General features: G+C 39.8%; 1 protein-coding gene across 18 annotated transcripts in view; it reads left to right on the plus strand.

The window, feature by feature from the left end:
* The window catches only part of TMEM164 (transmembrane protein 164), a 181883-nt gene that overhangs the window by 18919 nt on the left and 149269 nt on the right, over window positions 1-13695 (plus strand). The window lies entirely within an intron of this gene.

Genomic DNA, 13695 nt, shown 5'->3' on the forward strand with positions numbered 1-13695 from the left:
GAGAAAACATCATGTGTTTTGGAGGCTGTGCCACAGGTGCCTTGCTGTCTGTGTGGCTGGTGGGGGTGAGGCAGGGGGCATGGAGAGATTATGGCTGGAATGAGGCAGTTACCCCATTGCCAGGAAGTTCAGTGGAAAGGGAGGGGATAAGTAGAAGAGTAGCTAAGTGGCCAAGAGGCAGGCAGGGGCTGATTAAGAAGGAATTAAAAAAGCAAATCTGTGTGTGTGTGTTTGTATGTGTGTGTGTGTGTCAGACAGTCAGATTCAGTGCTGAGCTGCAGAGGGAGAAGGAAGGGGACACTCATTGCTATGAGGAAACATCAGTGTGAAGCGGGGAGCAGGGTAGTTGAGAAGGGACAAATGGAATACCAATTTTAGTAGTAGGGAAGCTTCCAGAAAAGCATGAGATCTCAGGCCAATTAAGCCTCTGATACATGTAATGGTTGGGGACTAGGCTGGACTAGCTAATCGCCTTCTCTAACGGTAGGTTAAGAAAGCTCCTTTTTGTTTATGTTTTGGTTACAAAAAATGTTTTGGCAGTAGCAGACTTATTGTACTGGCTCAGAGAATAGTCTGGTGAGTGACTGAAATGGAATTTTTGTGAGCCCTTGAAGGCCTTTAAGTCATCTGGACCTGCTAAAGTTTGGGACTAGAAGTGGAGATGGAGAACAGTGGAGGTCAGAGTCCTCAACCCTGGCTGCATCTCTCAGTCACCTAGGGCAGCAGATAATAAAACACAAACCAATGCCTGCTCCCACACCCTGTTCTTAGATAATTGATTACACTTGGGGCCTGGACATAGGCATTTAAGAAAAAACTCCTCAAGTGATTCTAATCTGTAGCCAGGGTTAGGAATCAATAGTTGAGAAGACTGGATTAAATGTGTTCTGAGCCTAAACTGACCACTAGAAATGTGTGTGTGTGTGTGTGTGTATTGAGTGATATCTCAATATAGTTATTTCCTCCTCTTTATTCCCAAAGCCTTGGGAGTGGACTGCTTGTAAAGTGTTGGTCCCATAGCCTGCTAGTTAGTTGTTTACTTGTCAAGAGAGATCTAAGATGTAAGATTCTCAATAATAGTAACTACCTTTATTGGGCCTTTTCAGGGATAGGTTTTCAGACTTACTCTGAATCATACAGCTTGTAGGATGGGTGCCAGCACTAGGACCCATATCTGCCCCTTTTGAGCAGAGTGCCTGGCATATAGGTATTTGATCATTGTCACATGATGTGACAAGGAGCTTTGTTTCTTTGTGCAATGCTTCTTTTTATTAAAAAACCCAGCGGTGGTAAAATCTGACGTATTTGAAAAGTCTGGTGGGAGAGAGGTTTGAGGAGAACTGCCTGGCATTCAAAAAGCTTATGATATGTTAGATAGTGTGTGGTGAATCTAGATCACATAACATGTATTAAGCAATTACTCCAGGCCTAGTCGTACTAGAGAGATACAAAAGTATTAGATGTGGTTTCTGCCCCCAGGGAACTTATTATCAAGGCTCATTAACAGTCTGACTACTGTATTTTCAGGTGGCAAGTATGTACAGAATTTATGACCAGAAAATGCTAGAGATCAGAGAGGCTTTCAAGTTCCTGAAGTTCAAGCCCGTCGTTTTGCAGATAGAGAAAGAAGCCCAGAGCAGAAAGCTGCTTGCTGAAGGTCACACCACTTGGGAATGGCAGAGCCAGGGCTGGTGTATATGGCCTTACCCTTTGAGGTCCTATTACACTCTGTTCTGTCGCCCTTGAAGGACAGGTGAACCTAATGGCCTGTGTTAAAACTTTAACGATATGCTTTATGCCTCCAGGCCTCCTTATGGTTTGGGGGAGGGGAGGTTAAATTTTAGTCTTTCTTAAAACCTTGAGTGGGAAGGGCCAGCACTGGTTACCTCTGGCTCAAGCCCAAGAGTTCTAAAGATGGCTAATTTTCCCTTTACTGAGACAACCACTGATTCTAGTCTAATTAGGGCACTTTCCTACTCCTCCTAAGGGTCTTTCCCAAGCTCAGTGTGTTTATGACTTTTCTACTTCAGTTCCTCATTTTTTTTTTTCCTTTTTGTGAAACTCACCTTAAAGACAAGAGGTGCCTGTCCTTATGGGTGGGCCTGAGAGTTAGAGGAGTGGGGCCAGTTCCTAGTGATACTAGCATCAGGCTGGTTCTTTTGGCCTTGTCCCCTGCTACTTCCCAAGCCAGAAATTTAGATCCAAGTTTGGGGCTTTCTCAGAAGGTTCAGGTATAATTCAAGGTAGAGGTATTCTTCCTTCCAGACCCCTCTCCCCACACAGTTAGTATTAGGGTATAATTCTAGTCACCACTAACATCTATTGAACGCTTACCAAGTGCCAGGCATCCTGTGGAATAGATGCTATTATTTGCATTCCCATTTTATAGATAAGAAAAATAAGGGTCAGGGAGGTTACGTAACATACCCAAGGTCACACAGCTAGAAAGTGACCAAGCTGGTATGGATGTGTAGATCTGGCTGACTCGTTACTGTTAGGCTAATGGAGCCTAACATGAAAATAAGTTACTAATTATATTTTTGTATTGACGAAGAACCATTTGCCAATTTTCTGCAAGCCAATTTAAAGAACTGGTTGAAAGAGAAGCATCCTACCTATAGTTCTGTTCCACTGTGGGGTGGACTGTATCAAGAGGCTTGCCAGTCACCTGCATTTGTCAAGTAAGTCCCTTCCCTTCTCTGAGATTCAGTTTCTGCCTCTGTAAATGAGAGGGTCAGACCAGATGGTATCTAAGACCTTTTCTGGCTTCATTTGCTACTTCCTGGTAGAATGGAAAAATTGTAGAATTGGATGAAGGACACAATGCATTAGAAACACAAATGTGGAGAGAATACATAGTTCATCACGGATGGGTTAGTTAGCCAGTTACACACTGTTTCTGTTTTCCCTTGTGAATTTATAATGAAACATTTTTTTTTTCTTTTCAGTGAGCTTCTTGCTAACATCAGAAAGTACTAGCTTTCCTTTTTTGTTGTTTGGTTCTTTTGTTTGTTGGAGACAGGGTCTTGTTCTATCACTCAGGCTAGATGCAGTGGTGTAATTACAGCTCAACTGTAACCTCGAACTCTTGGACTCAAGAGTTCTTCCACCTCAGCCTCTCGAGTAACTAGGACCACAGGCACATGCCATCGCACCTGGCTGATTTTTAAATTTTTTGTAGAGACAGGGTCTCACTGTGTTGCCCAGGCTGGTCTCGAACTTCTAGCCTCACGTGATCCTCCTGCCAAAGTCCTGGGATTACTGTTGTGAGCCACTGTGCCTGTCCTCTAGCTTTCTTAAAGGAGCTGTTATTTAATTTCAGGGCTTGTAGTCTCTAAAACTGTTGGTAAACGTTGAATAAAGGCTGAAGGGTAACAGGGCACTTAAATACGAGATGCCATGTTTTATGGCTCTGTGTGAGAATTAGTAAAATTTGTGTTCTGTTTTACAAGAGGGCCTTGGGAGATGATGGTTTCTAGAAGAGAAGCAATTGAAACAACAGATTGTACATGTAACTTTTATCTCCTTGCAGGGTTTAAGAGCAGGCAGATACATAACTAGGTCTAGTGTATGGTATCATTCATTTATCTGTGTGTCGTGAAAAGATCTTGTATTCAGGAACACTAGGTTAATAATCTACAAAATCTAATACTATTAGAATGGTAGGCTTGATCTTAAAATTTTTATGTTGTTGTTATTGTTGGGTGTGTGTGTGTGTGTGTGTGTGTGTGTTGGCATATGTGTTCTTGAACCCAGTGGCCTTTATTTTGGATGGTTTGTATATCAGCTTGCATCAGGGAAGGCTCTGAGGGCTTGTCCCCAAAGCCAGGCTCTTTCCTCCTCTCCTGCTGGCTCACGTATGTCTCCAGGTTCTTATAAGGCAGAATAGACTAGGTACTGCTATTAGAAGGAACAAAATTATTTACCTTGGGACAGGAAGGAGAAGCCCTAACAGGTGGGCTCTGATGGCAGTGCTGCTTGGCATACAGTCAGTGCTACACAAATGTTAAGCATTCTGCTCACTGGTCCTAGGTCAAAGCCCTTGGGATGCTCATCACTTGTGGGCTCAGGTATCAGGGCAGCTGAGTTAGAAAGCCCAACAATATTGCTATACAGAGGGAGTTAAAAACCAGATGGCATCAAAACCCAAGCTGCACACACATCTTGTTCTTCAGCTGCCAACTCTGCACCTCAATCTGATTTTACCTTATTCTCACCTAGGTCTGGGTAAGTTCATGTAATTGCATGTTCCTGCCATGAATATCCTGGTTTTCAGAAAAAGAGTGAGTGAGATGAGGCCACAGTGTGGCAGTATTTGTTTTGTTTGTTTGTTTTTGTTTTTAATGTTGCTCAGTCATGCCACGAAATGGGTACCTCCTAAACACTAACTTGGATACCCTGCTGGTTTGCTGCCTTTCAGTTTTCTATTCACATAATTATTGTTTGCATTCCCATTCTAATTTTGGCCTCTGGTCTCAGTAAGAAGGAGAATTGAAATACTCAGTGTCACACTCATTACACCCACGACCCTCATTCATTTCACAAACTAACCTCCTGTATTTCTTCTCTTCTTCTGGCTTGGCATAGGGCTTTTGACTTAGATCTGAGCTCAAAGCTAATTTCTATTACTCATGAGCTGTGTGCCTTTAGGCAAGTCACCCAATCACTGTCATTATGTTTTTCATTTGTAAAATGGAGCTAAAAATTCTATCTACCTCTTCAAGTTATTTAGAGAATTATGTGAGTTAATATTTCTAAAGCTCTGGGAACACTGTGTGGTACATATTAGGTATTCAAAAAATATTAGTTACAGTCTTCCTCCTTGCTCCCCAAGAAATAGAGCCAGTAACAACAACCTTTCTTCTAATACCTCATGAACTTCTCCTGGCATTAGCTGTCTGAAGGGGCTGAGGTTTGCCTTTTCTTTTGACGATGGAGATTAGTCATTAGAAACTCTGGATTTCATCCTCACAGGAAACTTGAAGTTGTTGACTTTTGTTCCTTGTTAAAGAGTTGGTACGACTGGGGCGGAAATCTCCAGAGAAAAGGGCGTGTTCCTCTACTAATTACTCTGTAGACGGCAGAGGGTGTGTGAGTAATGAGCTGTATGCTGGGTGTGGGAGTTCAGTGCCCAGCCTTCGGGAAAACATGGGTAGGTTTCATTGGCTCTTATAGCAGTTTGTGGCTCCCTGACTCTATCTACCCTGGAGATGTATTGGAGTCCAATAGTTAGAACCTCAGAGCCGTGGGTAATAGGCCTATTACCTACTTCTTCACAGTAATGATAACAGCTCACATTTATTTTGCCCTTACTTTGTGCCAGGCATTGTCCTAAGTGCCTTATGCGCATGAACTCATTTAATCCTCACAAGAATTCTAAAAGGTAGGGTGCAGAGCAACTAAATAGCTTGCCTACAGTCACACAGCTAGTGGGGTGGAGCTCGGATTAGAAATTAGGCAGTTCAGAGACCATAAACTTAACCAACTGCTTGGTTGAGTCTCTAGTCCTTTGGTTTCCTTTTTTAACTTAACATGTTATAATTTTGTAACTGCTGGTCTTTAGAAATGCAGCTGATCTTTGTGCATCATTTTTGTATCCAGCAACCTTGCTAAATGCTTTTAAGTTAATTATAATTAATACATCTGAGGATTCTTTGGGTTCTCTATCTTGGCAATCGTACATAATCTGCAAATAATGAGAACTTTGTCTCTTCCTTTGTGGCCATTATTTTTTTTAATATCTTTTTCTCAACTTACTGTTTTAGTTGAGACCTCCCGTATAGTGCTTAATACAAGTGACAATGTTGAGCAACTCTTATCTTGTTTTCTGCCTTAAAGGATATGCTTTCAGTGTTTCATCATAAAGTATGATCCTTACTATAATTTTTTTGTTGGTATTATTTATTAGATTATAGAAGTTCCCTCCTATTCTAAGTTTGCTAAGATTTTTTAAAAATCATGAATGGATGTTGCATTTTATCAGAAGCTTTTTCTTCTGTTGAGATGATCATATTGCTTTTGTTCTTTAGTCTTTCAGTGTGGTCAATTATACTGATTGATTTTCTAATATTAAATTGTCTCTGTACTTCCCAGAATCAAGTCACCTTGATCATGATATATTATCTTTTTTATTGTTCCTGGATATGGTTTGCTAGTATTTTACATGGTATTCTTAAACACTGTGAGTGGGCTGGGCGCAGTGGCTCACATGCCTGTAATCCTAGCACTTTGGGAGGCCAAGGCGGGTGGATCACCTGAGGTCAGGAGTTCGAGACCAGCCTGACCAATATGGTGAAACCCCATCTCTACTAAAAATACAAAAATTAGCTGGGCGTGGTGGTGTGTACCTGTAGTCCTAGCTACTCGGGAGGCTGAGACAGGAGAATTGCTTGAATCCGGGAGGTGGAGATTGCAGTGAGCCGAGGTCATGCCACTGCACTCCAGCCTGGGCGACAGAGCAAGACTCCGTCTCAAAAAAAATAAAAATAAAAATAAATAAATAAATAAAATAAAATAAATCTGTGAGTGAATCTGGCTCTAGTTTTCACTTTTCATACTGCCTTTGTCAGGTTTTCTTATTAAGTTTGTGCTAGCTTCATAAAATGGATTGGCCAATGCTGCTTCCTCTTCTTCTAAGCTTTGGAAAAGTTTGCATGAGATCAGAGTGATTTGTTTCTTAAAGGTTTGTTAGAACTTGCCTATAAAACTATCTGGGCTTTGATATTGTCTTTGTGGGAAGATTATGGACTACTGATTCAATTTCTTTAATGGTTATAGGAATTTTCAGACATTGTATTTTTCTTTAGTCAGTGTCTTTAATTTATGTTTTGCTAGGAATTTGACCATTTTGTCTAAATTTTCAAATTTATTGGTTTAAAATTGTTAATAGCGTCTTAACTATAAACACTACAGATATTTAAAAGATTTCTTCCTTTTCTCTCATACTATTATTTGCTACTAAAAAATCAATCTCACTAGTAGTTTGTAAGTTTTATTTATCTTTTATAGGAAATAATTGAGACTTTGTTGATGGAACTGTTACATGTTTGTTTTCTATTTTGTTAATTGCTGCTTATTTTAAAAATCTGTTTTCTCCTTCATATTTTCTTTGGAGTTATGTCTCTTGTTCTTTTCCTAACTTAGGTGGGATGCTTAGCTTATTTATTTTTAGACTTTCTTATTTGACTATATGAATTAAAAGGTTAATAATTTTTGCTACCTACTGTTTAGCTACATTCCACTAATTTTGATATAACATTTTGTTATTGCTCAGTTCCAAGTATTTTGGAATTTCCATTGTGCTTTCTTAACTCATGGGTTGTTTAGAAGGATTAACAGTTTTTTCCTAAATGTTTTAAAAGTCATCTTTTTGTTGCTGATTTCTAACTTAATAACATTGTGATCAGAGAATGTGATCTGTATGTTCTGTTTCTTTGAATTTTGTTGAGATTTGTTTTGTGGCCCAGTATGATACAGTGTCCACTAGATCAACCTTGTTAATTTTGCTGCTCTTCAATCACCTTACCTTATTTTTTCTCTGCTTAATCTATCAGTTACTGGGAGATTTTTTAAAGTTTACCACCACAGAGGTAGATTTGTCTATTTCTTCTTTTAGTACTGTTAACCTTTACTTTATATATTTTTGAGGTTGTGTTATTAGGTATAGTATGTTAATTTTTGCATTTATTGTTACATCTATTGATCAAAATGTTCAATATAGGGGTCCCGTGGCAACTTAGAGTGTGGATAGATCTACATGCTATAAGGGTGGCTTGGTAATGGTGAAAGCATCCCTCTGGGTGGGCTGGGTAAATTGGATTTTCAGCTCCAGGGAAGAAACACCCTTAAAATCAAAATTGCACCTTCTTGAAGAGTTCTTAAATTTGACATTGCCAAACAAAATTAACACCCTCATATCCTCAAGTGCCAGAGGCTTTTGTCGTTATTGAAAACACTCTTAAAAGCTGCATTCCTTCTGGGATGCATGAGGGGTTGGGAAGGAAAGCTTTATTTTTCATGGGCCTTACAGACATTACTTCTGGTTGGTCAGACATGTTTCAGACCCTTGGACTTTCTTCTTCTTACTGCCTAGTATTTTCTATGAGACTTGAGCCAAATCCTGTTACCTCTCTGCCTTTTAGGTTCAATGACTGGTTCCCTTTTCCCCTGACAGAAGTGAGGTGTGGAGAAATTGAAATAATAGTTGCATAGGGATTCTAAATAATTTATTAGTTCCCTCACTTGCTCTGCAGGAAACAAAAATAAAGTCTATAGAAGACAGTGTTCACGAGGATCAAGCAACAGAAATGATGTCAGCTATTCCCCCTTTTATTAGATTTTCGAATGGAATCAGACTATGTGAAGCTGGAAGGCATACAGAGAGACAAATTACATTTGGTCACATATGGGTGGGAATGGAACTTTTCAGTCCAGCTCTTGAGCCTATGTGGTGCTGTGAAATCTTATTTTCATGCTCTGTTAGGGCAGCAGCTCCTGATTCTGATTGCGTTTCCTAAATAAGCACTCTGAGCTAGTCCTCTTTGCTAGCCCTTCCTTGCTACTCAGAGAGTTTCAATGAAGGGGGAGCAGGTGACCCAGTTAGGGTCCCTTGTTTCAGGTGTTCTTTCATTTGAATGTAACAATACTTCTCTGTCTCTTTTTTTAAAAAAAACTTTATTTTTTGATTATAGAAGTAGCATATGATCATAAATTAAGAAATTAGAAATATAGAAATATAGAAAACAAAAGTGAAAGTTTCTGGTAATCTGTCTCCCTGACCTGTTCTCTTCTCTCCCTTTTTCTCTCTCTTTTTCTCTGTCTGTTTTTTTTTTTTTTTTTTTTTTTTTTTTTGAGGCTGGGTCTCACTCTGTCACCCAGGCTGGAGTGCAGTGGCATGATCATGGCTCACTGTAGCCTTGACTTCCCTGGGCTCAGGTGATCCTCCTGCCTTAGCCTCCCGAGTAGCTGAGATTACAGGTACATGCCACCACACCTGGCTAATTTTTGTATTTTTTGTAGAGACAGGGTTTCACTGCGTTGCCGAGGCTAGTTTGAACTCCTGGGCTTAAGCAATCCTTCCATCTCTGCCTCCCAAAGTGATGGGATTATGGGCATGAGCCATCGCATTCGGCCTCTTTTTTTTTTTTTTTAACATTTTTTTTCGTGTTTTTAAATGTGGGTTTTATTATTGTTCAGATGTGAAAAGGCCAACGGATCAAGAGACAGTTGCCATTTAAAAGATAGTACATTCACTGGGTGCAGTGGCTCACACCTGTAATCCCAGCACTTTTGGAGGCCGAGGCGGGCAGATCACAGGATTTTGAGACTAGCCTGACCAAAATGGCGAAACCCCATCTCTACTAAAAATACAAAAATTAGCCAGGTGTGGTGGTGGGCGCCTGTAATCCCAGATACTAGGGAGGCTGAGGCAGTAGAATTGCTTGAACCCAGGGGACGGAGGTTGCAGTGAGCTGAGATCGCGCCACTGCACTCCAGCCTGGGCGACAGAGCAAGACTCTGTCTCAAAAAAAAAAAAAAAGAAAAAGAAAAAAGAAAAGGTAGTACATTCTTTTCAAAAGGAACTATTATGATACATTGTGTCTTATAATTTTTAAAAATTTTAAAATTTTTTATTATACTTTCAGTTCTGGGATACATGTGCAGAACGTGTAGGTTTGTTACATAGGTATACATGTGCCATGGTGGTTTGCTGCACCCATCAACCCTTTGTCTACATTAAGTATTTCTCCTAATGTTATCCCTCCTCTTCCCCTGCAACTGCCGACAGGCCCCGGCATGTGATGTTCCCTTCCCTGTGCCCATATGTTCTCATTGTTTGACTCCCACTTATGAGTGAGAACATGAGGTGTTCGGTTTTCTGTTCCTATGTTAATTTGCTGAGAATGATGGTTTCCAGCTTCATCCATGTCCCTGTAAAGGACATTAACTGATTGTTTTTTATGGCTGCATAGTATTCCATGGTGTATATGTGCCACATTTTCTTTATCCAGTCTATCATTGATGGGCATTTGGGTTTTAACATTTTTTAAAGAGTTGAGGTCTCACTCTATCACTCAGGCTTGAGTGCAGCAGCACGATCAGGGCTCACTGCAGCCTCAAACTCTGGTGCTCAAGCTATCTACCCACTTCAGCTTTCCAAGTAGCTGGGACTACAGATGCACACCACTATGTCCAGCTAATGTTTTATATATTTTTTAAGAGATGGGGGTCTCACTATGTTGCCCAGGCTGGTCTCAAACTCCTGGCCTTAAGTGATCCTCCTGCCTCAACCTCCCAAAGTGCTAGAATTACAGGCATGAGCTGCAGTGCCCTTCCCTAGTCCTCCTTTTTATAATAATTTTAAAAAGGTTTTTTTGCTTATTGTTATTATTTTTAATTAATCCATAATATTTTATATATTTTTGAAGTACAGTGTGAGATTTTGATACACGTATCCATTAACCAATGTCTCCCTAATCCCTCCTTTCCCCCTACCTTTCCCCACCTCTAGTAACTACTACTGTACTCTCTACTTCTATGAGATCAACTTTTTTAGTCCTGCTCTTTTTTTTTCTTTTTATTATTATTATTATTATCATTATACTTTAAGTTTTAGGATACATGTGCACAATGTGCAGGTTTGTTACATATATAAAGACCTCGGCTAATGTGAAAGAATATCTCCTTCTCACTCTCTGATCTTTTCCTTTAAATTTGCATTTCTCACAAAAGTGTAGTGTGAAAAAAAATCCAGCTTGATGGGGGAGAGGGCTCCAGATTTTACAGAATATGGCTGCATGAAGTAAAGGTCAGGGGTTGAAGGAACTGGAATTAAAAATGCCAATTACTCATCTTTATTTAAAAATGGGTAAATATAAGGCAGAAAATAATATTTTAGGTACACACATCCTGATCTAGCTATGTTTATGTGTGTTGGGGTGATGGATGGACAAGAGGTATAGTTCAAATGAGATCATTTTTGTGAAATGGCTTTGTAAACTGTAACATGCCCTATAAATATGAGATTAGCTTTAATACTGGCCCTGACTCTCCAGTGTGGCTTTGTGTGTTTGTCTAAACACTTAGTTAATATCTGTCAGTGGTCCATTGCACAAGGAACTGACACAATGGTATCCTGTGCCTCTGTTGTTGTTGTTGTTGTTTTTTTTTGCAGTTCTAAAAGCTTAGTTAATTGCCTTCATTAGCTTAATATATACCACGTGAAAAGCATAGAAAAGCAGAACTCAAAACTCAGAGAATAAAGGACAGAACATAACTAACTACTGATGTGCACCTTAGTTACCTGATGCAGGGAATTGAAGCATATAAGCTTCATCTAGTACTACCTCAAATACAGTAAAGTGGATGACAGCACTCGATAAACTGTAAAGCTGAATAATAATGCCAAGGATTGTTGTCATCATGACTACTTAGATTGGCTGTCACCCAGTGACTTAGCTGTGATATGCTTCCAGGCAGTTCCTGAGAGGTCCTGCAAGCCCCTTTCCTGTACAGGTGCTAGAAAGTGCCATAGAAATACAGTCTCCTGATGACTGTAAAAGCCAGGCAGCTAAATTTAATAAGACATTTGTCAAGGAGATGGAAGATTATGGCCAATTTTGGTAGACAGATAGTTGCCGGCTAAAACAAAGCATGTATTGAACTGTTTTGGAGTAGGAAGAAGCATTGCTATGACAACAAATTACTTATATTTGATTTAGAAGAAGGAGAGCAGTGTAGCTTAATGGTTTAGAAAGCTCATGAGAACAATTGTTGGCACGGGTTTATGTTAAAATATAAAATGTTAAGTAGGATCTGTTAAATAATTGAGCACCTCAGTGCATTCTGTCTCTTCTCTCACTGTCTCTAACCAATAGAAGACAATATAAATAAATTCAAAGAAAAAAAAGCTAGCAGAATTACATGCAAATTGTTCCATTTTATAAGGTGCCCAAATGAAATTCACAGCCAAAATTTGCTGGAATGCAAAAAATGTCGTTTCTTTACAGGAAAAAAAGAACCCAGAGACCTATTCACTGTGTTTTCATGCCATCCAAACCTGATGATGGTAGTTTGGAGTTTCTCATTCTGTAGGTGATTAATCTTCTTTGTGATTGGTAGTATGTTTTATTTGAAAAGAAACTACACTTCAGACCATTTCTATCCTTTGGCTGTGTTCATGCCTGAGAGAATGAGTAAACAGTCATTTGTATGAACTGGTTATTTGTAGTTCCCCTGGGGAAGTAGGTATCAGGCAGGTAGCAAAGGCATCTAGCATCTGGAGGAAGCTTGTGGATATAGAGGCTTTCTCTTAGAAAGATAGCTCTTTCCTTTTCCTAAAGGTAAAACCAAACAGATGGCCCATATTCACTGGGGATAGGTCTCAGGGTCTTCTTCATCGGGTTCTGAGGGTGGGTAGATCTAAGGACTCCTTGAGGGCTCTTGAGGCAGAGAATCAGATACTTTCTAATCTCTCCTTTTTTGCTTTTCCCTGATCCCCACTTTTACCCAGTACCATCTTCCTGTTTTCCCCTTATACTTCCAGAACAGTACAGTAAAGTAGGAAACAGGGAAAAGCTTGGAAAATGGAGGACTGACTCCAAGAGGACAGGAATAACTACCCTCAGCTTTTAAACTGCCTCTGCAGGCAAAACTCACAAATTTGTATTCCCCCCCGCCCCACCGCCCACCCAACTTCTTTGGAGGGAAAAATTCCATTGGTCATTAATACTGGGAGGAGGCCATGTCATAGAGTTCATTCAGAGGCGGAAGACTGAAAATAATAAGCCAGATCTTAGGCTAACCTTCTCCTGTAACAGAGAAGTGACCCAGAATCACAGCTGTTTGATGAATAATAGAATTTGCCTGGCATATAGTTTAAATTTCACCTTCTTATGTGACTTGGTGTTCTGTGTTTTACTAGTTGGCATCATGTCAGATCATGTTCTACCCTCCTCGGAAACTTCTAGTGCTCTCAGTTACTTACAAAATAAAATCCAGAATTGGTGAGCTGTTCCTTAAGGCTCTTCATGATGTGGAAATAGACCTCTTAGAAAAAGGTTGCAAAAGCAATGCATACTCATTATAGAAAATTTGGAAACTAAAGAATTTGGCAAACTTTTTCTGTAAAGGGCCAGATAGTAAATGTTTTAGGCTTTGTGAACCATGCTGTGTCTGCCACAACTACTCAACTCTGCTATTGAAGCACAAAAGCAGCTACAGATAATGCCAGTATGTGAGTGAATGTGTGTGGCAGTGTTCTACTAAAACTATATACAAATCAGTCAGTGGGCCACGTTTGGTTCGCGGGTTATTGTTTGCTGAACACTGCTATAGAAAATAAAACTAGTTCAACCATTGTGGAAGTCAGTGTGGCGATTCCTCAGGGATCTAGAACTAGAAATACCATTTGACCCAGCCATCCCATTACTGGGTATATACCCAAAGGACTATAAATCATGCTGCTATAAAGACACATGCACACGTATGTTTATTGCGGCACTATTCACAATAGCAAAGACTTGGAACCAACCCAAATGTCCAACAATGATAGACTGGATTAAGAAAATGTGGCACATATACACCATGGAATACTATGTAGCCATAAAAAATGATGAGTTCATGTCCTTTGTAGGGACATGGATGAAATTGGAAATCATCATTCTCAGTAAACTATCGCAAGAACAAAAAACCAAA

This window comes from Homo sapiens, chromosome X (genome assembly GCF_000001405.40).
Source record: "Homo sapiens chromosome X, GRCh38.p14 Primary Assembly".
Taxonomy (NCBI): Eukaryota; Metazoa; Chordata; class Mammalia; order Primates; family Hominidae; genus Homo; species Homo sapiens.